Genomic DNA, 24,135 nt, shown 5'->3' on the forward strand with positions numbered 1-24,135 from the left:
TTCTTAGTTTTAATCACATTTTCACTTACAATCAAACAGAAGCTCTTTTAAATTATGCTTGTTTTATTTATCTTCTTTCATGTCTTAGAAAAACATTTGCCATGCTTCACTTTTCCATCAAGCATCCTCCCTATTTCCAAAGTCGGTTCAGATGTATATAATATATATAATTCAGGGTATTGCAGTCCCTTGGATGGAAGAATTATTTGTTGAATAACTGCTATGAGCCAAATTTTAAATTGAGAGATAAAGATTATTTACTGAGTAAAAAAATATTTTCTCTCAAGTAACTTCCCTTTTAGATAGATATTTAAGGTCAATGGCAATGGAAAAATTAGAGTACAGAGCTAGATTAGGTATCATAACTTTTAAATTTTCTTTCTTTTTTTGTTTTTTTTTTTAATACATAGTAGATGTGTATATTTACAGGGTACATGAGATGTTTTTATACAGGCATGTAATATGAAATAGCTGGTTGCTTTTAAGAGAGATTGTGGACTTGAGGATAGGTAGGTGGTAGGGTTGGCTTAGGTGGAGAGGGTACCTCAGAGGTTGAACATAGAAGCTGGTGAACAGCTTGGCATGATCAAAGTGGAAGGAAGGGGTTGGAAATAAAGTTGGAGCACTTACAGAGCAAAGAAGTAGCTGAACTCAGTGAAGCAAAAAATAAGCAGGTATGGAAGGTTCCTGTGATGAAGAAAGACTATGAGGGGGAAGTGAAGTGTCAAGGTCACCCAGAAGACTGTTATGGTAATCCAAGAGAGATGAACAGGGCTTGGATTGGAATGGTCATACCAGAAGAGCAGCAGGGAGGAAAACAGGATGGTTATCAGCACTCAACTAGGAATAAAGAAAAAAGAGAAGAGTGAATAAAAATAACTTTAAAGTTATATATTTCAATGATATTAAAAAATGCTTGTCATCAACAGAAATACAAATTTCATGTGCAAGTCAGAAGGAAAGTAAAAACACATTGCTTTATATGTGGTAAGTTTGAAGTGGTGGCAGGATGATGTTTATTTTCATTAATTGCAGAGACTTTATATGTAAAAAGCCAATAAATAAAAATGTGATCTTTCTCTTTGGGTATAGTAGGAAGAGAATGAAGTTTAGAGTTTGGAGTCCTTAATTCAAATCTTAGCTCTACCAAATTCTGGATGTCTGATCCCTGGCCTCAGTTGTCTCATCTGTAAACTGAGTTAATAATGATAATTATTTTTAAATGCACACGTATACGAAACAGAGTAATTCTAAGGATTAAAATGAAATGATGCTTTTGAAAGCACTTATGTGCATAGTAATATTACTTATTATATCACCATAGTCCCCCTTTTTATGTGAGAGGACAAAAGGAAATATGCTTAGTAAAATGATTAAAAATGTCCATGAAAATATCATATGAACTCGTTGTTATTTATTTATTTTTTTTATGAGACGAAGTCTCACTCTGTCACCAGGGCTGGAGTGCAGTGGCGCGATCTCGGCTCACTGCAACCTCTGGCTCCTGGGTTAAAGCGATTCTCCTGCCTTAGCCTCCCGAGTAGCTGGGATTACAGGCACCTGCCACTACGCCCAGCTAATTTTTTGTATTTTTAGTAGAGATGGGGTTTCACCGTATTGGCCAGGCTGGTCTGGAACTCCTGACCTTGTGATTCGTCCACCTCGGCTTCCCAAAGTGCTGGGATTACAGGCGTGAGCCACCGGAACTCGTTGTTTTTAATATATACACAGATAGATATAAAAACAAATACGTAGAGTTGTACGTTGTGTGTATACAGACATGTATTTCCTACCTCCCTTCACTTAGAGGGCCTAGAAGCAAGGATACTTCAGTAGCAATGAGCAAACCTAGCCTGCATCTTGGTTTCCAAACATAATTTTCCAACAGAAGAAAATATAACTTCTTGGGAAAATGGCTGATTTGAGTAAGAACAGGCTCGGAAAATGATGGGGCATATCAACCTGAAGCAGCTCCCAATGACTGAATACACAGAAATCTGAGCAACAAAATAACTAATAAAAACAAATAATAACTCATAGAATAAAAGAAATAGCCCGGGGTCTTTACTAATAGAAATAAATAATTGAATAAACAAGTAAATAAGTGGAGGAGAAGGGACAGATTTTTTTATAGTAGAATTCCAGTGAACAAATCTAGAAGAAATATGGAAATTATAACTAGTACAAAGGCAATCAGCAATCTAGCTTGTGTTTAACTATCAAAAATTGTATTAGCAAATTGTTTTCAACTATAGAATTCTGTAAAAATTAACCCATTGTGTTTAAGTCATCATAGAGGGAAAAAGTTGAGACACAATTGCTTTGTATAACTTGGAATGACTTTTGCTGGCTATTGAACTCCCAGATGTATTTAGAAAAAAAGATTATGTTATGAAATTGCCATTTTTAGGTGTTTATTCTAAAGATAAAATGGAATTACAAGTGCAAAACAGAATTTTTGTTTGTTTGTTTTAAACGTATGACTGCAAGTTTTACATAAATTATTATTTGAGTAAATAGCACATGCAAGGAGCTGCTATATAGTACATTAAATGATATAACCAAAATACCAGAAAACTATTTTGTTCATAGTACCATTTTTCAAATATCTGAAGTTGGTCTTTATTAACCATATGTCTGCATGATACTGAACATTGTACTTTTGAGATATATGATATTGGCATTGATGTAATGCATTTCTTATTTTACTATTTTATTCTTGATTCCTCTTTGAGTAAAATAAACTTAAAAGACCCTTTTTTGAGGTAATGAGTGGAAGTAGATTTTTAAAAATTTGTTGGTGATATTAACTACATGATGTTGAAAATAACAATTACAACTGACATTCATTGACCACTTTCTATCTCCCTTCTGTTTTGTGAAATTATAACTTTATTTAGTTTGAATTACTTAGATAACTGTCTCTTCTTCCACTTCTTTTTGCAACTAAGACATGCCATAAATCTGTGCAGGTATCTGTATAATATGCTGTTTCTGTTTCAGTGTTAATAATTTATAACTGAGACCTATTTCCACTTTGAACTAGGGTTCAGTAGGATGAAAACTAACTTTGTCTTTTATTTATCACACTTGATTGTCTAATAATTTCCATAAGCAGCAGTTGCTCTCCACATACAGATAGAACCCTACACCTAACGAATCTCTCCCTTGGTCCCTCCTAAAAAGGCACTCCATTTCTCATTTTCATTAACTTTGCTACAGCATGGCCAAACTCAGTAAAATTTTTTTTTCTGTTTTCTTTGTCTTTAATATTGTCTTTAATATTTCACCTGTCTGTTTCAATTTATCTTGGTAAAATATTTAGATATATAATATCTGTTCACTTTTGAAACTAAATTTTCAGTTTTAGTCAAATGTATAATGATACTGCAAGTTGAGCAAACTGTGATCAAAGACCATGATAGTACCTGTATTAATGTTACATGCGTGTTCTTTACATACCTAAGCAGTATAGTGACAACTGAGTGTGTTTACCTGGGAGAACTTTAGGTATTTTCCCTAAGCCCATGTACTTTGAGGTTTTAATGTGCAGGATGAGAACAGCATCCAGCCAGGAACAGCGTAATGCCCCGATGTCATGGGATTTGACAAGCTTGCTCTGCACCTAATAACCATAGGTTTCTATATCACATCATCTTTGCCTAAGACATAATAGATACTCTACTGATTCTAAATATCCAACACTATTTTTGTGTCCTAAACTTAAACTTCAAATTTGTCACAAGTTAATCTCCTGAATCAAACCTAGGAAGAGAAGTTTCCTTAGGCAACACATAGATTGTACCAATGCATAAACAGTTATTTGAGAATGAAACAGAACCAGAGCTTTGTGCTATTTTCATTTTTATAAATTAACAAGGAAATTAAAGATGTTATGAAGGATGAGACAAAAAAATTTCTGGAAAAATATTTTTGTCTTCCCTTGTACCATTTCTATTTAAATGTTAATGCACTGTGTTTCCATCTTAAAGTCAAACAAATGTTTAAAAACTGTAACAGTTTTTAATGAATAGTTTTATTAACTACTAATCCTCCTGTTTTCAATTCAAATTTCCTAGTCTTTGTAGAGCTTGAAACTTTCCTCTGGGATGCATGAAGTCTACTACTTCAGGCTGGCAATCCTCTCTCATAACTCCTATTTGCACTGTTTTCCTTTCCCCTTCATCTCAAGCCTTGTTCACACTCAGTGCCTATTGGTGGCATGTTTAGCTGCCCTGAAGCATAGCCTCTGTAACTTTCCTTGTTCTCTTTCAGTTTGACTTTGATGAATGCAATGCTCCTGCAATGAGAAAACTGTACACACCAGTGACCCAGGCATCTGAATTGTCTGGGAATAGGCTGCATTACTGAAATTTAGGGTCTACTCCTTGTTAGACATATCAGTGTTCCAATGACTTATAAAACATTTGATCCCTGATGGCTGTAGGTTTCTCTTGTTTGAAAGCTGCTAAAAAGCCTGCACATCATTGGAATGCAAAATTAAAACAAGAAGTAGAAGTGTGAAGCTCATTTAGACTTTTAAAAACTGGTCTAAGTGATTGTGGCATGTCAAAGTACTTTATACACTCCTAAGTGGAGACAAACCTGTGAAACAGAACACCAAAGGCACAATTGTGTTGCAACAAGCAGTATATTGTAACTGAGTTTAAAGCCCCCTAACATTCCTGCACACTAAAGCACAGTAGATTTAAATAGGATCTTTGTGATTCCACATATCCTAAAGAAGCAGTTTTTCTCTGTGTGAAACCACATGCATTTTCATAGAAGATTCAGGGATAAAAACACATCCGGGCAAGATATAAGAGTGAAATGTATAGACAAAAGGATTAAGGGCTCAAAGGCTTTTTTCTTCTTTTTCCCCTTTCCTCTTTGAGCTGAATTATCATTTAATGCCGTAGACTGGATAGGTCAAGAGTTTGACTGAACAGAGTCATAAAGTCAACTAGGAAAATATTTTTTACCATATAAAAGAAAAAATAGAAAACTATTCAGAGATGTCACAAGTATCAGACCATATGGTGTAATGCCACTTGATTAGAGGTTTATTTTTTCTAATTAGCTCATTTTGGAGTAGATTATTTGAGAATACTCATCCTTGGAATTGTTATGATATGATGTATATGCACATATGTATATATGTGGACATATTTATCTGTATTCTATATAGATGTATTTATCAAAATGCATTTCCGTTTTTATATGTTTTAATAATGTCTCTCCCTTCACTTTTTTCTCCTGGAGTTTTCAACATATTGAAGTTACAGTATTGCAGTTTTACTATAGTACATACTTCAAATGTACTTAAGGGAATGATCATTTGAATAAAATTTGACTAAGGGATAGATCCTTTTAATAAGTATGTGAAATTGATAGGAAATTTTTTAGATTAAAAAGTACTGAAATTTAAGGTATAGAATCATTCCACAGAACTACTTTGTACCCTGGAACTGGACCCCGTGGCATGATGGTAGCTTCTCAGCCAGACGGAGCCCATGAGATAGATGGCTCTGACAGGAACATTTGGGATCTGACATTAGATCTGTGGGTGGGGTGAAGAGAACTGATCTAGAGTAGATCATACTGGGTCCTACAGGGTATCCAGGCATGATATCACATAGTTGCTTCATCCACAATGTAGGAAATAGTCAACATTGGGGTTCTCACTCCAGCAGGGGGATACAGCAATGGGGAATTCCAGCAGCCATCTATACTTGGGAATCAAGGAAAAAGGGGCTGATCATTTGTTCTTGGCCATCATGATACTACCTGCTGATATTGATTATGGGACAAAGCTTCAGTATTGGGAAAGAAAAATGTTGTGATGATTCTACCTTCGGAGCTGTACTATTATTATACTTACAAACCTCTTCATGGCAGCCCTCCAGCTGGAAGGATGCACTAGAGTTTTGGTCATCCAGGCCAAATTCAGAAGTAAGAGTTAATTCTCTTCACTGACACCAGCAAGAGAAAAATGGAGTTATATTTTGAGGGCAACGTAATTATTGGTTGTTTCTAGATATAGTTGAAAGTATAAGGACTTGTTCCTAAATGGTAAGATAGGAGAGCAGGAACACTTAGTTTTCTGAAGATGACTTCATTATGAGTCAACATTAGATGGAAGTCGAAAAAAGTTTGACCTTTTATTCTGAAATTAAAGGTGAATGGAGACAGCAGGTGAGATGTATCAAGGGTCCCAGGCATGAGAAACTGATCCAGAGAAGAATGAGAGCATGTAGACTCTATACTCGACTTTTTACAATTGTTTATTATATTATTTAATTCTCACAATGGGGTAGATATTCTAAATCTCATTTTTTAGGGGAAGAAAATTATGCTTGAATATTTTGCTTGAAAAAGATTTTCCCCTCAAATTTCATGGCAAATAAATACCTTAAGTGACAGACCCCAGATGCCAGATTCCAAATCCCATGCCTTTTCGCTAAACCATGCTATACTACCACGTAATGTCTGATTTGTAGTATTTTTAACTTAAATTTTAGGGCAGATAATAAACAAACCTTAGACCCATCTGATTCAAAAAGAGAAAAAAATAATGGAGTTGAGGAAAAATAATCATAGTTAGCTTGCTGTGCAATGCTATATACTGGACACTGTCCTAAGTACTTAAGATGCACTGACTTATTTAATCTTTTCAGCAACACCATGAGGTAGAAATGATTATAACTCCCTTTTGTCCAATGGAAAAAGTGAGGTTTAAGAAGGAAGGAAGAGGTAAGACCCCAGATGACTTGAATCTGTGCTTCTCCAACTGACCTTATAATGCTATAAAGAAGAGTAGCTGGGATGAAAAATATATATCACCAAGTTACACAAAAATATTTCTAACCTTTCAAGGAACAGACAAACAAAATAGCAGGGGGAGTCTCTGAAGAATTATGATGTGATTTACACTACAGCAAGGTCCCTAATAATAAGATTACAGGAAGAAGGACAGAAGAGCTAGAGTTATCAAGTGCTGAAACCATCTATACTACTAGCACCTCCAATGATCAAAATAGCATCAAGGCCGATTTCTAAGTCTTGGATGTCATCAACAGGAATCTCTTGTTAGAGTAGAAGAGAGGTGAGGTAGGTTCTGGCCCAAAGTATCATATGACTGGCTAGTTTGGAGTTAGTTTATTAAACTGCAATGGAAGTAGCTCTAAAATTTCCTGAAAGTTGTCTTTTTTTTTTTTTTTTTTTTTTTTCTCACTGCAACCACAGAGAGAACCCAAGGACAAAATTCAAAGTAAAATGAAAAAGGAGGGCTACTGAGGTATTACTCACAACAAATACGAAAAGTTGGGGAGTGCATAGAGATCTCTGAATGCCTCTTGTGCTCTGCTGAACAATGAGGCCAAGGATCTGGAAGACATCTTTATACCATAGGAAAATTGATCCCCCCTTATCTTAGTATGGAATAATAATAAACTGAACTATGTTCTCCTTGTTCCAGAGCAAGGACAAAAAAACTACCTTCTACCTTATCAGAGATGTTTTTTTAACACTTGATCTCCAGGTCAGCTAAAATCAAATGTTATTAAAATAGAAAAGGCATATTTCAGTAAAATTGACATTTTAAAATGTCAGTGGTTAATGAAAGCCATAGTCTCTTTTATTGATAATTCTTTTTTTAGGAAGAATTTAGGACAAAATTAAACTGTCATGACATACTTCTTGGTCTACTAAATATTATATGACCTTTGTATTTAGTAAAACTTGACAAAATCAGATTAGAACTTTGCCATGTAGTTTAAGTTATCAAAATATGAAGTCAGATCAATTTTATGACCATAGAAACTTAAAAATTGGAAATTCTAATTTTAGACATTAGAAGTGGCATGACTAAAGTTTTATGGTGTCCATTTCTTCAGGATGCACAATTACTACAGTTAGCATATATCTGAATTACTGATGTTTCACAGTGGCAAAGAATGGAGAGCTCCACCTGGGTATTTGAATGGGTTGTTGGTCATGAACACAAGTAGAAAATGCACATCTTTCTGTGAGTATTTATTGTAGGCTGATAACTGTGGGGTGTTTTTGCATTTACAAGATGCCATATTATTGGTGGCTGTTGTCTCTAAAAGGTTAGCATTTGCTTTGAAGGTAAGACATGTTAGAAGTAAAGATACCTATGAAAAATAAAGAAAAACTGTGGAGAGAGGAGCAGCAAGTGAGTGTCATAGATTAAAGGTAATTAAAGTAAAGTGATGGCCACACAGAGGTGACAGCTGTAAGGAGGATTAGATATCACGGTCAGGCAGGGATCTAGTGATGGATCCATCACTGGAAAAGGGGAACCAATAATGAAAGAATGCAGAGAAGCTCTACAGGTGGAAAGAGTGGAATGAAAGGAGCTTTTCACTACATGTAATACCGTAGAGGCAAATGATGGCCAAACCATAGAGCTGTGTGTGTCTCTCTGTGTGTGTGTGTGTGTGTGTGTGTAGACATTTATGATAAGAGTAATCCTTCTGGACCTCTAGAGAACAATAATTATATTTCCCTGACATTAGCAATGATTACTCTCCATATGTTTATAGTGACACTGATGGATATCCTGAAATATCCATGATGTGATCAACAGTCTTACTCTTACCTCATGAACCATCTTGTGGTTCATGGCTACTGATGCTTTTGTGGCCATTGGCATTTTTGTTCTTTTCATTCCTCCTCATGTTCAGATGGCCACCAACAGATTTGGTGCCTGGACCAAAATCAAACATCTGAAAATATAATTATACAAGAACTGACAGAATAGTAATGTGACCAAAACAAAATCATTTTTAATGGTAATTGGATAAATGACTGCAGATTGCTATTCTCGGAGATTCATTAAAGCATTTCTGTGAGTACATCAGTAATAATATGCATTTGTCTCTTTTTATTTAAATGTTGTGTTTGGGCCTGCGTATAGTGCTGAATGAATATTTGTGAGAAGAATGAAATAAATGTTTGCATAAACCACTCATATTTTAAGTATGTGAAGGAAGTTTTTTTTATTGCTCATTTAGTCAGTAATCAATTATGAGTGCCTGCTATATAGGGGCACTATCAGGAGTACTAGGGACAAACAGACAAATAAAATACAGTGTCTGTTCATAAAAAGACAATTAAAATACAGGGTAACAATCATCCTGATGGCTCTGTGTCCACAGCAGGCTCCTAATCTTGTTGGCCAGGCAGGGCTTCCAAGAGGAGTCTTGCAGATGCTGAGAGGGAGGGAGGTGATCCAGGGGAATAGTTATTAATAAAAGTCCAGAGGAAATTTCAAGGGAGAGAATGCAAAGATGAGATTATGAAAACTGGAATACGCTAGGAATGGTGGTTCGCACCTGTAATCCCAGCACTTGGGAGGAATGCTTGAGTCCAGGAGTTTGAGACCATCCTGGGCAACATGGCGAAACCCTGTCTCTACCAAAAATACAAAAATTAGCCAGGTGTGGTGGTGCATGCTTGTAATCCCAGCTACTTGGGAGGCTGAGGTGGTAGAATCGCTTGAGCCGGGGGAGGTGGAGGTTGCAATGAGCGCCACTGCACTCCAGCTTGGGTGGCAGAGCCAGACCCTGTCTCAAAACAAACAAATAAACAAAAAGCAAAAACTGGGGAAAGAAAGATCAGCTCAGATAGGAGTCCATACCACATTATTAAGGATTTTGGCTTTTTTTTTTTTTTTGAGACAGTTTCATTCTGTCACCCAGGCTGGAGTGCAGCAGTACAATCTCGGCTTACTGCAACCTCCGCCTCCCGGGTTCAAGTGGATTCTCCTGCCTCAGCCTCTTGAGTAGCTGGAATTACAGGTGCGTGCCACCAGGCCTAGCTAATTTTTGTATTTTTAGTAGAGACGAGGTTTCACCATGCTGGCCAAGCTGGTCTCAAACTCCTGACCTCAAGTGATCCACCCGCCTTGGCCTCTCAAAGTGCTGAGATTACAGGCTGGCCAGGCTGGTCTCAAACTCCTGACCTCAGGTGATCCACCCACCTTGGCCCCCCAAAGTGCTGGGATTACATGTGTGAGCCACTGCGCCCGACCTAGATTTTCGCTTTTATCTTGAAGATTATAGGGAGTTCCTTGAATAGGTCTGAGCTTTGGAAAGATCTCCTTGGCTAAGGCGCATGACAAATGGATTGAAACAGAGCAAAGCTAGAACCAGTAAACTCTTTAGGAGACAGTTACAGTAATTCAGTCAAGAAATAAATCACTGACCTAAAATAGTGGCAAAGGGATGGAAAAAAGTAGACTCTGCAGGACTGGATGTATGGGAAAGGTAATGTCAAACACTTCAAGATTGTCAGCTTGGGCAGCAAGGTGTATAGGGCTGCTGGTCACTGAGCCAGAGAAGACTGGGCCAGGAGCAGGTTTGAGTAGGGCATTGGCTTAGGAAAGCACTGAGCATGTTTAAATACTAAGGAACTGGTAGAAAAGGAAAACATTTTTTCTTAAAAATATTACTTAATAATTGCTCTTAAAGAAGAAAACCCTTAATTTTTAGAGATATATCTGCATTTTAAATCATATTTATATTCCTTTCTTCTTCCTCTTTCCTTCTTCCTTCTTCCTTCCTTTCTTATCTTCTGGTAGAGAAGATTAATTTTATGTGGACCTAAGTGTGATTTATAAACTTCTGACTGTAAAGATTAAACACATATAAACATCAGCATGAGTGTATTTACTATAGCTTATCATTATACAGATGACAGCACCAAAGTTCAAAATGACAGCTGATAGTGTCCATCTAGAATTTATTTCTAGCAGCATGTAGCTAATAGCAATGGAGCTTAGAGGACATAAGACCACATTAACATAATTTTCGAAGAATGAAATAACAGCATTGACTTTCTAATATATTTATGACTGTATTTCTGGAGTTTTTGATTGCTTATAAAGTGATTTTGTTTTCCAAACAAAAGTAGGGCAAGATTGAAAACTTGAAAATAATTCTCCCATTTTCCAGAGAGAACAAATGATACATATTCAGGGTATTTATTTCAGTATGAATAATATATGAAGGATCATAAATAATTCTTTATACCTTGAAGTGTATAGATACATTTACTCTAAAGAGATCCTGAAATAAAACCCAAGTGAATGAAGTTGGACAATGAAATTCAAGTTCTTTTTGGAGCTCTAAGTTTTCCGTCTTTGAAATAAAATGAATTTAGTCTATGTATCATTCCATAATTGTAGTGCAACTGTTCTTGACTAAATGCACACTCATCATGCTGTTTAAAGTAATCATAATACCATATTTTACAGTAACTCTCTGATGTCGGTGCAACACAACTGGAAGAGCCTAGTTGATTCTGTGTTTCAACACAGTACAAGAAAATCAGTTATCCTCATAATAAATCAGGTTTAATTGGTAATTCTAAAATAAATACTCATATATGCTCTAGTTGAACCAGCATCAGATATTTAGTTTGAACTTAGGTTTGTTATTGACTGATGAATGCCTGGCTGCTGCCTGGAAGTGTATTTTCAATGTCTATGTCTCTTGCTTAATTTCAAATGTCATATGTGTGTATTTTGTAGGGAAAGTAGGATTTTAAAATATTTTGAAATCAATAGATTAAAATATTTGAGTATAGGATTACACAGAACTGAGCTCTGTGTTACAGTTGAAGAAATCTTTTGGTAATGACAAATGTATCAAAACATTTAAATCCATGTGTTGAAGCCCAAAAAAGTTTATGAAGGGTTGTTATTTCTCTAGAACCTCTAGGGTGAGTATACAAACTGAACATATAAATATATGTAGCTTAATGCCTGTGAACTTTCAAAGGAAAACACTGGCCAAATGCTAATAGAAATAAGTAGTAGGAAAGGATAAATGAATATTTATTTTCTACCCTTAGTCATGAATAGTTCACTGGATCTTTGTGAACTTTGAATTTGCTTAATAGTAAGACATTATTTGGGGAGGTTGATTATAAATGATCATTAGTACAATACTCCCATTTTTCTTGTCTAGATGCTCAAGCAGTGTGTCTAACTACCATGGCATGTGAGTCCTCTTTGATAGATAGATAGGTCTGGACAACCATGGCGTGCAACATATAGAACCTAGCCAGGCAGCTTTCTCTCCAGCCTACCATGAACAGTCACACCTCTTCTAAGATTGTTGTTCCTGTGGGCACCAAACTTTGCCCATTAACTGATCTATTCTCATGCTATGCATCATTTATTTTAAAATCACCTTAACTGAGTACTTTTCAGATTATCTCGATCAGCTGGTTGCCAGATGGAAACTTACTACAAGTGTTTATAAATTATACTCTGGCTTAGGCTTCAAAAAATAGCTATTACAGCCAGATTATAATGAAGCCCCCATCTTGCTTTTTTATTTTAATCACTTGACCCTCTCTTCAAAAAAGCTGTGGGGAAGCCCCTGCTTTAGTAGTTCATCAGTTTGGGGGGATTCTGTACACACATATTTGTCTTCAAAATAAGTAGGAGTGCACAGTGACTAAATTGTTTTATTCACATTGCATTTCAAAATCCAGTCCGATGTGATAGAACATAGAATTAGTCAAATGGCCCTTTAGGCTTGCTTTGGCCACCCTACACTTCTGTCCTCATAGTCTCTTTAATGTCAGTCAGCGACATTTATTGAGTGCCCACTTTGTGTTGGGCATTGCGTGGAGTAGCCTTCGGAAAGCTATGCAAGCTGTTAGCACTGTTTATTAAAGAATGTTGTCCTTTATGTACCAGAAGTCAAGAGGCAGCAGTGTGGAATGAAAATAATAGCTGGAAGGAATGTAAAATTAAATTGGTTAATTGATGTTTGTGGGCACATGAATAGCTTGGCAATATTCATTTTGATTAATCTGTGTAAAGCATAAACAGTAAAAGTCATTTATATTGACCTCAATTAGAAAAATTATGCCACAAGTCCATATAGGGAATTTAGTGTAGATCCATAAGTTATGCAACAGTTTCCCTGATTGATCAGTTATAAACAGGGCCAATTTGTAAAAATCATGATGTGTTTAACTTTTAGTCAAATAAATTGTATTGAATGTACCCAAACACGGAAGAAAATAGCATGCTGCCTTGCTTATTGCACAGAATGTTCCAATTTTCTTTCCACAGGTCAGTAATTCCCAAAGACAGGAGAACTTGTCCTTGGATTCATGTGACTATGTCGGCATCGAGAATTCTGCATGCAATAGGGATAACCAAAGATTAATTTAATTAGATAAACGCATTTGAGTGAAACAATCGGTCTTGAATTATAGCTGCCATGATCAAAAACAAGGAGAAGGGCAGACAGTAATCGAAGCAGATTTCTAAATTCAGCAAAGGTAACATAGATCTTACATATTAATGATGATCTGAAAAATATAAAGTATTGACTAAATATCACGTTAGGATAGTTTTTTTGCACATGATAGTTTAGTTTAAGAGAAACTCTACATGACCTTTTTAAATTTGTGTGATGTTCTTGAATAATCCTTGGATCTTGGAGGAGAGAAAAAAATTTAATTCAATGACTCTGAGTGAAACATTCTGATTTGCCACTTTAAAGACTCATGGCAATTTTTTTTTCAGTCTTTTTAATATGATAGCACTAGCCCTTTAAGAATAAATTAATCGGCCGGGCCCAGTGGCTCACACTTGTAACCCTAGCACTTTGGGAGGCCGAGGCAGGTGTATCACTTGAGGTCAGGAGTTCAAGACCAGCCTAACCAACATGGTGAAACCCTGTCTCTACTAAAAACACAAAATTAGCCAGGCGTGGTGGTGCACGCCTGCAGTCCTTGCTACTTGGGAGGCTGAGGCAGGAGAATCACTTGAACCCAGGAGGCGGAGGTTGCAATGAGCCAAGGTTGCGCCATTGCACTCCAGCCTGGGCGACAAGAGTGAAACTCCGTTTAAAAAAAAAAAAGCATAAATTAATCGAAACATTTGAAGGAAAATAAAACTAGCTTACACAGTTGATTTGCAAAGACTTGTCTTACAAAGTCCTATAAAGCTGTCCTGCAAAGCCAGTTTGGGAGAGTAAGAATGTTTCCAGGCGACAGTTAGTTTACAATTGTGACATGTAAAAGATGTGGCAGGGTGTAAGTGAGGCTAATACTCAGCAAAGGTGGAATAAGAGTGAAATGGTCCTCACCTTGAAAAAGAGCTCCTGGATATTAACAAAGAGTCTGTCATATGCCACAGTGGTGTTTTCATCCTCCCTGTGAGTCTGTCAGGGAAACACTACTGAGCAAAGCCAGCCCAGAGAGTGAGAAACCATGTGATTCCTATCCTTTTTTTCCCCATGCAAATGGACTAAATAGGTGATCACCTTCAACTATGGCCTTGTGTTAGGTGTGTGTTCAAATGTTACATATTCTGTGTCATAGAAGTGAAAAACTTCAGAGCTGGAAGGGATCCAACAACCATCGAATCTAATTTTCTTTTTTAAAAAACAGGAAAATAGAAGCTCAGATTTGATAAAGGTTACAAAAGTCCACACAGAGAAATTCATAGTGGGATCAAAACCTGGGATTAGTAAATCCTAACTAAGAGGTCTTCTCAAAACTTCACTTCAGGAGTTGTGATCTATCCCTTTAGGTTAAATTATAGAACTGAGACAGTTATTTCTTCTCCAAGGTGTTAGTTTCCTGATGGTTCTGTAATCATGATTTCTTATTTAAAAGGTGAAATTTAAAACTGCAGTGAATGATTTTTAGATTTGCTGTCATAGGGACTTCAGCAGCAACTTTCAGAAGATTAAAGCTGAGAGGCTAGCCTTTGTTCTCAGTCCTTAATCGCTTTTCTCTTATGATGGATTTGAAACACAGCAATACAAATGAAATAATAACAGTAAAAGGGCCTGGGAATTTAAGAAGATATTGCAAATATGTCACGTCATGGAGGCTTTGAATTTCACTTTCTAAGTCATGTATCAAATTCAAGTACCCTGCTCTAAGTGTGGTCAAACATGCAAATATTTGCTTTCTGAGTAATTTGCCCTAATGACTTTGAAGCATTTTTGAAAAACAGTGGTGACATTGTTCTGCCCTGGCAGAAAGCATATTCCTTGTCAGATGTCCACAGAGATCCCGACTGTCTACTGGCAGATTATTAAAGGATGGTGCTGCATTGTATTTGCTAAGCTTTCCTTCAGTTTGACAAAATGTTATGTATATAGGTTGTCACATCACCCAAGCTTCTGTGCCAGACCTGTCTGGCAGCCACCCTTGGTTAACCACTGGAAGATAGAACTAGAAACGTTTTAACTTCTGAAATAAGGTCCTCTTCTACAGACCCCTTACACTTTTATTTTTTATTAGAAAGTATCTGATCGTCGGCAAAGTTTGAAGTGATCACACATAGGCAGCTGCTCATAGGAAATTCTGTTTTCACAGCTATGATGTTTTCCAGGTTCCAGGTTGGTAATTTAAATCTGTTCAGCCAGAAAATAGGAAATTTCAGCCATCACAGTAGCACCAGGTGTTTGCATTTGTCTTTCCTTGGCCTGTCCCTGTTTGGACACTAAGCTTTAGCAGTGGGGTTCAGGGATCACTACATGGCATATTTGGGACAGTGCTAATCATAGGAGTATGGATATTATATTCACCAAGCAGAAAGTTTCTTTATTGGAGAAAGCATGAGATGATTTCCCCGAGATGAAGAAAAAGAAAGAGGGGGGTAGAAGAAAACAAATAACTAGTTATTTAGGGAAAGTGTATTCCAACAGTTGTCAGCATGTTACTTGGTTGGTTCATACTCTCAGTGGTTTTTTCGTTCTTAACAAAGCACTGTAATTTCTTTTCTAGGAAAATTTACCCCAAATGGTGTTAACCTTTTTTTCAAAGGCCAAAAGGGAGGTTTATTGAAAATCTGGAAAAGAAATTAAATATTTGTCACACTTAAATATGTTTAAAATTATTAAATCTGTTTCTGTTAATCTGCAAAAAAAAAAGACGTTTAGGTCAGTGTAGTCCAGTTAAATATTGATATTATGAATTGCGTCCCTATCTGTGGTTGTCTTTTATTCATTTACCTCACAAACATGTAATACTAGTGTGCATATTTAGGTATGGGAGGACATTGGTCAGAGAAAACAGGTATATCTTGTAAAGAGCGAGAGCTGATAGTAGTCACAACCTTATTCAAAAAGATATTAACACAAAATAAGGGACTAATATCACAGGTGTAATGAAGACTTGCAAGAGAAAGGAAAGCTTTAAAATTAAAGGCATGGCGGTGGAATGGGTATTGTATTAATGAGACAGAAAGATGCCAGGAAACAATTCGAGCTGTTAAAGCACAGCAAAATTATTCATCTAGCACCTAGGGGCATCTCCTGAATCTGCTGTGGTTAAATATTCCTTTTCCATGTGTAAGTACAGAGTTTCAGACCTCAGCTCCAGAATGAAGTGAGGAGGCTAGAGATAATTTTTAAGGTTTACAACCAGTGTTTTAAGTGGACATAATTCTATTTTGAAGATTCTATTGAATGTTTTTAAAATAGTACACTAATTCCAAAAGTGTGCGTGGGGGAGTGCATCTCTTTCAATAGCTGGAAAAATCTTGGTTGGCATTCTTTGTTTTGGGTTTATATTCTGAATAAAATAGTTCATATATGTTCAAGAAGAAGCACGTATTATAAGACTTTGTGGACCACAGACCTTCTCCAAGTTCTAAGAACCTTATAGAAGGAGACAAAAAAGTTAAAACCACATCTTAGTAAAAGAATTTATAAGTACACCATTAAACATCATAGCCTACTTAAATACTACAGAACATGGTTCAAATATGTGGAAAATTTGATGAGAAACTACCATATTATGATGAATCGTTAGTCTATATAAAATTATTCAGGAAACATGAAAGGCTTTGCTTGATGTATCCCAGCCAACAGTCTAATCTTGTCACTGATTTTGAAGCATCATCTTTCTGAATGCTTTCACTTAAAACTTTAACATTTAAAAGGTTTAGATTTCATGTTCCTTTTAACATGAATGGAGAAATGAGCCCCCTTCCATTGTTGTCATAATATTTTTGGTTCAGTCAGTAATTTGTAAAACATGATTTTAAGAGATGCCTTCACCTATAGCTGGGAAGTTAAAGTAATTTCACTGAATACTGGCAATGCCTCTCAGAAACTGGATTGTAAGGATAGGAACTTTATAATAAGCAAGATACTTGAGGCTCATAAACGCTGGAATGAAGAGTTATTCAAAACCAGATTGACAAAAAAGCAGCGTGGGGCCCTGTGGAAAGCAACAATACAAAAATGTCCCTCTTGGATTTGAGTGTTTAGGGATTTGTGAACTCAAATCTGAGAAAGGTATTTCAGGAATGTTATTTTTAATTTTTTTAAAAAAAATAATGGCAAATGGTTTTTAGCTTTAAAAAAAAATGACATATTGGAAAGGAAAATTCTAGTCTATCAAATGTAATATGGTTAGTTTCTAAATATCTTCCACATCCTGTTTTCCCCAAATAATTGCTTCCAATTCAATACTTTTTTTAGACATTTAATATTTAATTTATAGCATGTGGATGGATAATATAAAATCTAAGTCTGGACCCTGCATTGAGTAGTTTAAAATGATTTGCAAAATAAGCTGTATGTACATGCAAATAACAAATGAGGAAGGATAGGACTAATATTCAAATAATTATATATAATAATATTTATATTAATATATTTTATATGGTTTTTAAACTATATACTACTTAAACTATATAATATATAAAAATTTATATATAAATATATAGTTATAAATATATATATATATAGTTTTAGAGGAAACCCTAATGGAGGAATAAAGCTTAATCCATATTAGTCCCTCACAAAGCTTTGATTTGATCATAATTAGCTTCATACAGCATATCTAATGTATATTTGCTATGCTCATCTCAGTGGGAAACAATTTCTTTCAAAAACCTGTAATATGATTTCAAAGATTGGATGGTGTTGAAAGCCATCTTGATTATTGTTTGTAAAGCTGGGGAAAACATTTTCAAAATACTAAAAATTAAAACGAATTATAAATGAATCAACATGTTTGCTCTCATGTGGCACAATCATGAATAATGACAAACTACACAATTATAAAAACCAAAACTTCTATACCAGTGTCAGGTGAGCCATTTGATGGATGTGTTTCCATTGAATATTACATGTTAAAAGAACGGTAAAAGGATGGCTAATTGTTTTCTGTAACAATAATGAGAAAGAGTATACATAAACCAAGTAGTTTCCACTTGGTGGAAGCAATTACAAAAATAATTTTTATCTGTTTTGCTGATAAAGCAGATTCATTAAAATATTTAGTATTGTGTGAATAAGAGACAGAGAAGAGGGAAATAGAAAGATTCAAAGGCATTCATTGAGTAATGCAAAAATTCTCATATGTAGAGACATTTTACCCAGCAGGAACTTAAGTCCATGTGTGAGGCAGGCTGCTTGCATGGTGAAAAACAAAACAACACCGCCCCCTCCCCTGCTCTCTGTCTGCCTCACCCCCCTCACTCCATTGACATGCATAGCTGGCCTGGTAGGTGTAAAAATAGACTGGCAGCGCCTGCACTGGAAATGGTCACTGAATGCAGCCTGCAGTTGCCGGGGGTTTTGAGTTCTCTCTGACACCAGCAAGCCAGCTAGCAGATGGGGAGAACTGGTGAGGGGCGTGGAAGGGAACTGAGCAGAGGAGCCAAGGATCATCTTGATGAATTGCCCACATTAGTGTACCCCTGGGAGCCCTGGACAGAGTGCAGAGGGCAAGGACGGGCCCACTGACAGCAGGAACTGTAGAGCTGAGATGGGGAATGCAGCCCTCTGCTCTTCTTGCCATGCGGATAAGAGCATAAGAGCACAAGGAAACATGCAGGAACTGGATAAAACCCCAGACTACTATGGCTGTAACAGTGAGGACGTCAAAGAACCTGGAGTGTGGGTAAGTTTTAGGCCACAAAGGAGGAGGAAGGGAGGATGGTGGCATAAGAATCAACAGTAGACCTCATTGGTCAGACCTCTAAACTTCCTGGAAGGAAGCTGACAGAATAAAGCCAATGTGATCAAACCACCTGACTACCTCTGATCAAGTGGCATGCTTTTGCTTCCTCTTCATGTTATGCAATGCCACATGTTTGTTTTTTCTCGGTTGTCTTTAACTCTGAGCTGACATTTGGGAAAGAGCAATGACACTGTCTCTTTAATTTGGAATTTTGTCCAAAGGTGGACATACGTATTATTATAGAGTGACTTTCAGCAATATTGCAGAGATTCACTTACGTTCAGTCTGTCAAATTCTTTCGCCTATTTATTCATGTATAGTTCGTTTCTCACTAAGTCACAGAGCATTTTTTTAAGCATATGCTCCCTTAGTATCCCAGCTCCAGCCTAAAACAGTATTTCCCTCTAATATTTGACTAACTTCAGTGAAGAGGTCCTTAAATGCTTTTCTTGTTATGATAGTAATAGTTTGTAAAAAGGCTTAAACGTTAAGCAATTAAATAAGATTTATTTTTTTAAATCTTTATTAAAATTTTATTTTTTAAAAACTTCAGATTTTAATAATTCATAGGCATGATGTGTTCCTTAAAATGGGTACAAAGGCTTATTGTGATTTTTTTTTTTTGGCCAGGAATCTCTGAAATATTTGGATTTTCATATTTGCTGGAGAATAAAGTTTATCTTTTATCTGTCAGATCCAGGAATTTGACCACCTTATTGCAAGTTATTTATTTGCATGAAAATAAATAGCTGGTTGCATGGTTTGGCTGCAACTATGAAACTAAGATATGTAGGATTTCTGAGTAAGAGAGGCAGAGGCGTTTGTACTTGTTATGTACTTGCCTGATATTTCCAGGAGTGAGAACAGGGTCTGAAGCATAGGAGGTGGTGCTCTGCTCTCTTTGGCTTTTACTCTGACCTGAAACAATGTCATCATTTCTTAGCACTGAAACTCTGTCAGACCATAGTGAAACTAAAACTAAAACTAAGAATTTATCAACAAAAACAACATGAAGGGCAAATATTTGCAGTTGGCAGTGAACAGAAAGCCCTGTCGTGAAAAAGAGGACAGTAGTTCCAGCATGGAGGTCACCGTAGTCAAAAACGAAGAAAAAAAAAGGTGGGGAGGGAGGCCGTCCCAGGGAAGGGAGATCACCCACCGTTAACAACCGCACAGGCGAGGTTTGTAACCAAGAGCAGTAACGTTTCTCCTGGATTATGGTTTCCACTACCCACATCCACCCAGGAGAGCCGCTCTGGACTTCTCAGAGCAGTCACTTCTAATGCAGCTTTCTGAACTGAGGGGACAAAAAGTATCATTACTACTAGTTCAGGACCACAAAAATGAGTGTATTTTTAAAAATGTACAATGTCATTTCTCTGAATTAATTAATATAGCCTGTTAGTCATTTAATAAAATCTTCTGCTAAAGGTTTTATAGACTGGAGCATATCATGATTGGTGTGACATTGGAAAGGTGTGGTAGAGGTGGAAGTGGACCTGTTTTCTACCTTCAGAAATGATATTCTGCCCAGAATTTTTCCACTTTGGCCATGGAGAAAAAGAAAAAGTTAATGTTTAACTTAATACCAAGCATGACTTAAGCAAAATATGTGGTTCTAGGTAGTTTAAGTTGGACTTTATGTCTTCCAAATGAGAATGTAAGACTCACAAACATATGTCAGGGTTTTCCTCTGAAATGAGCTTGGCTTTTACGTAAATCCTTAAAGGACCAAAGATCTGCTCTTATCACAATTGGCTTGGCAGCTCCAAAAAAGAGGAAGCATGCAGGACAGGACAGAGTGAAGAACAAAACTCAGCTGTTTTTAAATTTTTATTTAGTCCTGGTAATGCTTCTAAATTTTTAATCACAGAGGGGAAAACTGCGTCATCTCATTATTTTTCCATGTTCATGTATGCAGATGACTGGTGGGTGTATTCCAAGTTCACTTGTGAAAGAAGCAGCTCTTGGAGATGCCTTACAGACTTTGCCCTGGATCCTAGGGTAGCTCTGACACAAGTCAGCAAGGCCTTGTTAGGGTCCAAGTAGGCTCCAGAGAGAAGGATTCTTGACCATGTTTTGATAAAGTGCTATTTAGAACAGCATAAAAAATGTATCTTTATTTTATGGTCTTCTTTTGGCTTGTATTTTTGTGATGATATCATTTATAAATTTGCATATTGGTCTAAGTATACTCTGTATTTTTCTTGCATTGAGATCATGTATTTCTATTGTGGTTTCCTTAGCATAACAAATTAATTTGCTTTGTCCCAAGAGCAAAACCATAGATGCGATGCTTTAATATAGACATTTTTTAGGTTACCTACCCTAGCTGATTTTCAAGTTATCACATCCTTCTTTTTTTTACCAGTTTACTCTCAGAGATTTTTATTTTATTGCTTCATTTATTTTTAACAATTTTTCCCAATTGTAGTAGAGATTTTCAGGTTTTTCGTATGAGCTTTTTCATTATTCTATAAATGTTCTTATTACTTTAGACCATGAGCATGAATTCTGGTCTTATTATGAAAACAATACTTTTCTGCTAGCTGACTCAAAAGGTAATAAGTCAATCAGCAAATGTTCACTGAGCTAGGTATAGTTTTGAATGCTGGCGATTTAACGATGACAAGACAGAGTTCCTGTGATAGCGGGAGACAGACTTTCAGCATTTATATGGGGGGATGAGGAAGCATGGTGCCTAACTGAGAGGGAAATGTACTGGGAACGTTCAAGGGACGGAAGGATGGTTAGCATGACTGAAATGTAGTGATCAAAGAAGAGGACGGATGGCAATGAGGTATGAGAAGCAAGCATGGGCCTACCTTGGCAAAAGTTTGATTTCTTTCTGAACATAATTGAGTCTTGGAAAAGGACTTGAGATTTCATTAGAAGCACAGTGGGAAGCCTCTGGAGAGCTCTACACCAGGAAATGGTAGAACTTCATTTATGCTTTGAGAAAAATCTCTCTCCCTTTCTCCCCATCTCTTCCTCCCTCCATTTCCCCCTCCCTTTCCTTGGTGAAGGATGAGTTGTGAATGCAGCAAGAGAAAAAGAAGGGAGACCAGTTTAACTGGTTTCAAGGTTTGCAGCCCTGAAGTGAACAAGGATGGAGGATTGGATTAGGATGTTAACAATGGAGGTGAGATTGTAATCAGATTGAGGATGTATTTTTGTTTTTATTGAAAGATTTTTGGGAGATTATAAAAGAAATAGAGGGGTGTGTGTGTGAGAGAATGAGTGAGATGATTCCTTATCTATGAAGCATATCAGTATGTCAAAAGAGTTGAGTTAAACTTTCCTTCAGTTTTGAACTCTAAAAGAATATAAATTAGTTTAAATGGTATAGTATTGTCTTCCGTAAAAGTTTTATAAAAGATAAGGAAATTTTGTTCATATGGTTAGTTTTGATATTAACCCTAACAAGAGCCAAAAGTGTAATGGAAATTACTCTGGTAAAGCATTTCAAAAAATACAAAATGATTTAGATATGGTTATGTAACTTTTAGATGATTTATTTAAAGATAAAGGCCTGGCATGGTGGCTCGCATCTGTAATCCCATCACTTTGGGAGGCCGAGGCAGGCAGATCACTGGAGCCCAGGAGTTCAAAATAAGTCTGGGCATCATGGCAGGACCCTGTTTCTACAAAAAAATACAAAAATTAGCTGGGTGTGGTGGCACACGCCCATGGTCCCAGCTACTCAGGAGGCTGAGGTGGGAGGATCACCTGAGCCTGGGGAGGTGGAGGCTGCAGTGAACTTTGATCGTACCACTGCACTCCAGCTTGCGTGAGAGTGAGACCCTGCCTCAAAAAAAAAAAAAAAAAAAAAAAAAAGAAAGATTGAAAGAAGAGAAGACATGACTTTCATTCTCTAGGAACTTACAATCCAGTTTTAGAAACAGGGCTTACCCACATGTAATCAATTAACTATAAAAGGTAGTAGAGAATTCACTGGCTGCACGAGTGTTGAAATGAGCCATTATAGGATGCCCAAGAAGGAGGGGATCAGTGCAGGCCTCGGTGCTCTGGGAACACCTCGTGGACAGAGCTAATACTTAGCTGATATGGTGCAGATCAGCTGTACCACTTGTTTACAGTTTGAATTGCTTTCACACAGGCTAATTAAGCAGCTGTTACTATGAACCTACCAAGCTGCCCCTTCTGAGGCTAGCAGAACCCCATCCTCAGGATTTCCCAGCCTACTCCCATCCTCTAAAGAAGCAAACAAAAGAATAATGCTTGGACTCTCAAGGGGCTTCCAGGACCACCCTCCTCTAGTGCTGTGGCCAGTGTCCATTGGGAGTGGTTGGTGCCTGAGCTGAACTAGTTGTTAAATATTTTTAATATCCATCCTGCCAGTGGAGAAGGTGGAGCCTGAAGCAGATCTTGGGAGCAAAATACAATCTGGGTTCCTGTTGGGAAGAAAGTACACTTGTGCCTTCAGTAAGCATGTATTCAGCCAGGCATGGGCCTACCAAGATGAGTAGGACATGCAAACTTGGCTTGAAGGAGTGTAATCCAGGGATGGCCAAAGCAGGACTTTGAATATTGTGTTCCCATGTCCTGAGAAAGCACAGGGGATTATAGAGTACTTCAGGATGACAACTCAGCCTCAGAGGGTGGCAGAAAAGTTAAGTCCTGAAGCATTATGGGAAGTTCACACACTCAGTATTGGACTCATTAGAAAGACTGGAAAGCAATGGCTATAATACCATTTCTACTGGACATTTGTGGAACCCCCAAAATTTAGATGAGGCACATAGGCTAAGATTATCAAGAGATTCATAAGTCAAGATTTAGAATTTGAACTATATACTAGTGAAAGGCCATTGACCAAAGGCTGTTTTAGGAGAATCAATTAGGTTGTAGTCTGCATATCATAAGCTCTATTTTCTTTGAAGTTCCTACCAGCTAATAGGTACTTAGTAAATATTTGTGAAAAAAATGAATGAATTAATGACTAGGAAATCACCCAAAGTAGCAAATCTATTTATGGGAATTTTCCCACTACAGGTGACATGCCCCCAGATGAAACCAGAGGCCGCCAACATTGAAAAGGTGATGGAAGCAAAAAAACACTTCTAAAAACAGTAAAGACGTTGGTAACTAAGAAGTTTTAATTATAACCTTCTGCTCAAAAAAGGA

At 36.8% G+C, this 24,135-nt stretch overlaps 1 protein-coding gene across 66 annotated transcripts in view, besides 2 other annotated features; it reads left to right on the top strand.

Annotated features, from left to right (window-relative positions):
- Positions 1-24,135, top strand: part of ANK2 (ankyrin 2) — a 678,115-nt gene that overhangs the window by 421,455 nt on the left and 232,525 nt on the right. For 4 of the 66 annotated variants that reach the window (NM_001386147.1, NM_001386160.1, NM_001354261.2 and 1 more), the window contains one exon: positions 24,004-24,048. The exons of 60 other annotated variants lie outside the window; for them this stretch is intronic. In NM_001386147.1, coding sequence (NP_001373076.1) covers positions 24,004-24,048 — 45 coding nt within the window. Of the gene's footprint in view, positions 1-18,542; positions 18,928-24,003; positions 24,049-24,135 lie in introns of those variants that run through there. 2 more of the 66 variants (NM_001386174.1, NM_001386175.1) reach the window with 1 other exon arrangement.
- Positions 18,076-18,684: an enhancer, noted in NCBI's record as "H3K27ac-H3K4me1 hESC enhancer chr4:114066308-114066916 (GRCh37/hg19 assembly coordinates)". NCBI's record gives its function as "activates a minimal SCP1, AML or CMV promoter by ChIP-STARR-seq in naive H9 embryonic stem cells {active_cell/tissue: H9 hESC(naive)}" and the evidence as "EXISTENCE:reporter gene assay evidence [ECO:0000049][PMID:30033119]".
- Positions 18,357-18,651: a silencer, noted in NCBI's record as "tiled region #8287; K562 Repressive non-DNase unmatched - State 24:Quies". NCBI's record gives its function as "represses a minimal TATA promoter and a strong SV40 promoter by Sharpr-MPRA in K562 cells {active_cell/tissue: K562}" and the evidence as "EXISTENCE:reporter gene assay evidence [ECO:0000049][PMID:27701403]".

This window comes from Homo sapiens, chromosome 4, assembly GCF_000001405.40.
Source record: "Homo sapiens chromosome 4, GRCh38.p14 Primary Assembly".
NCBI classification, from domain to species: Eukaryota; Metazoa; Chordata; class Mammalia; order Primates; family Hominidae; genus Homo; species Homo sapiens.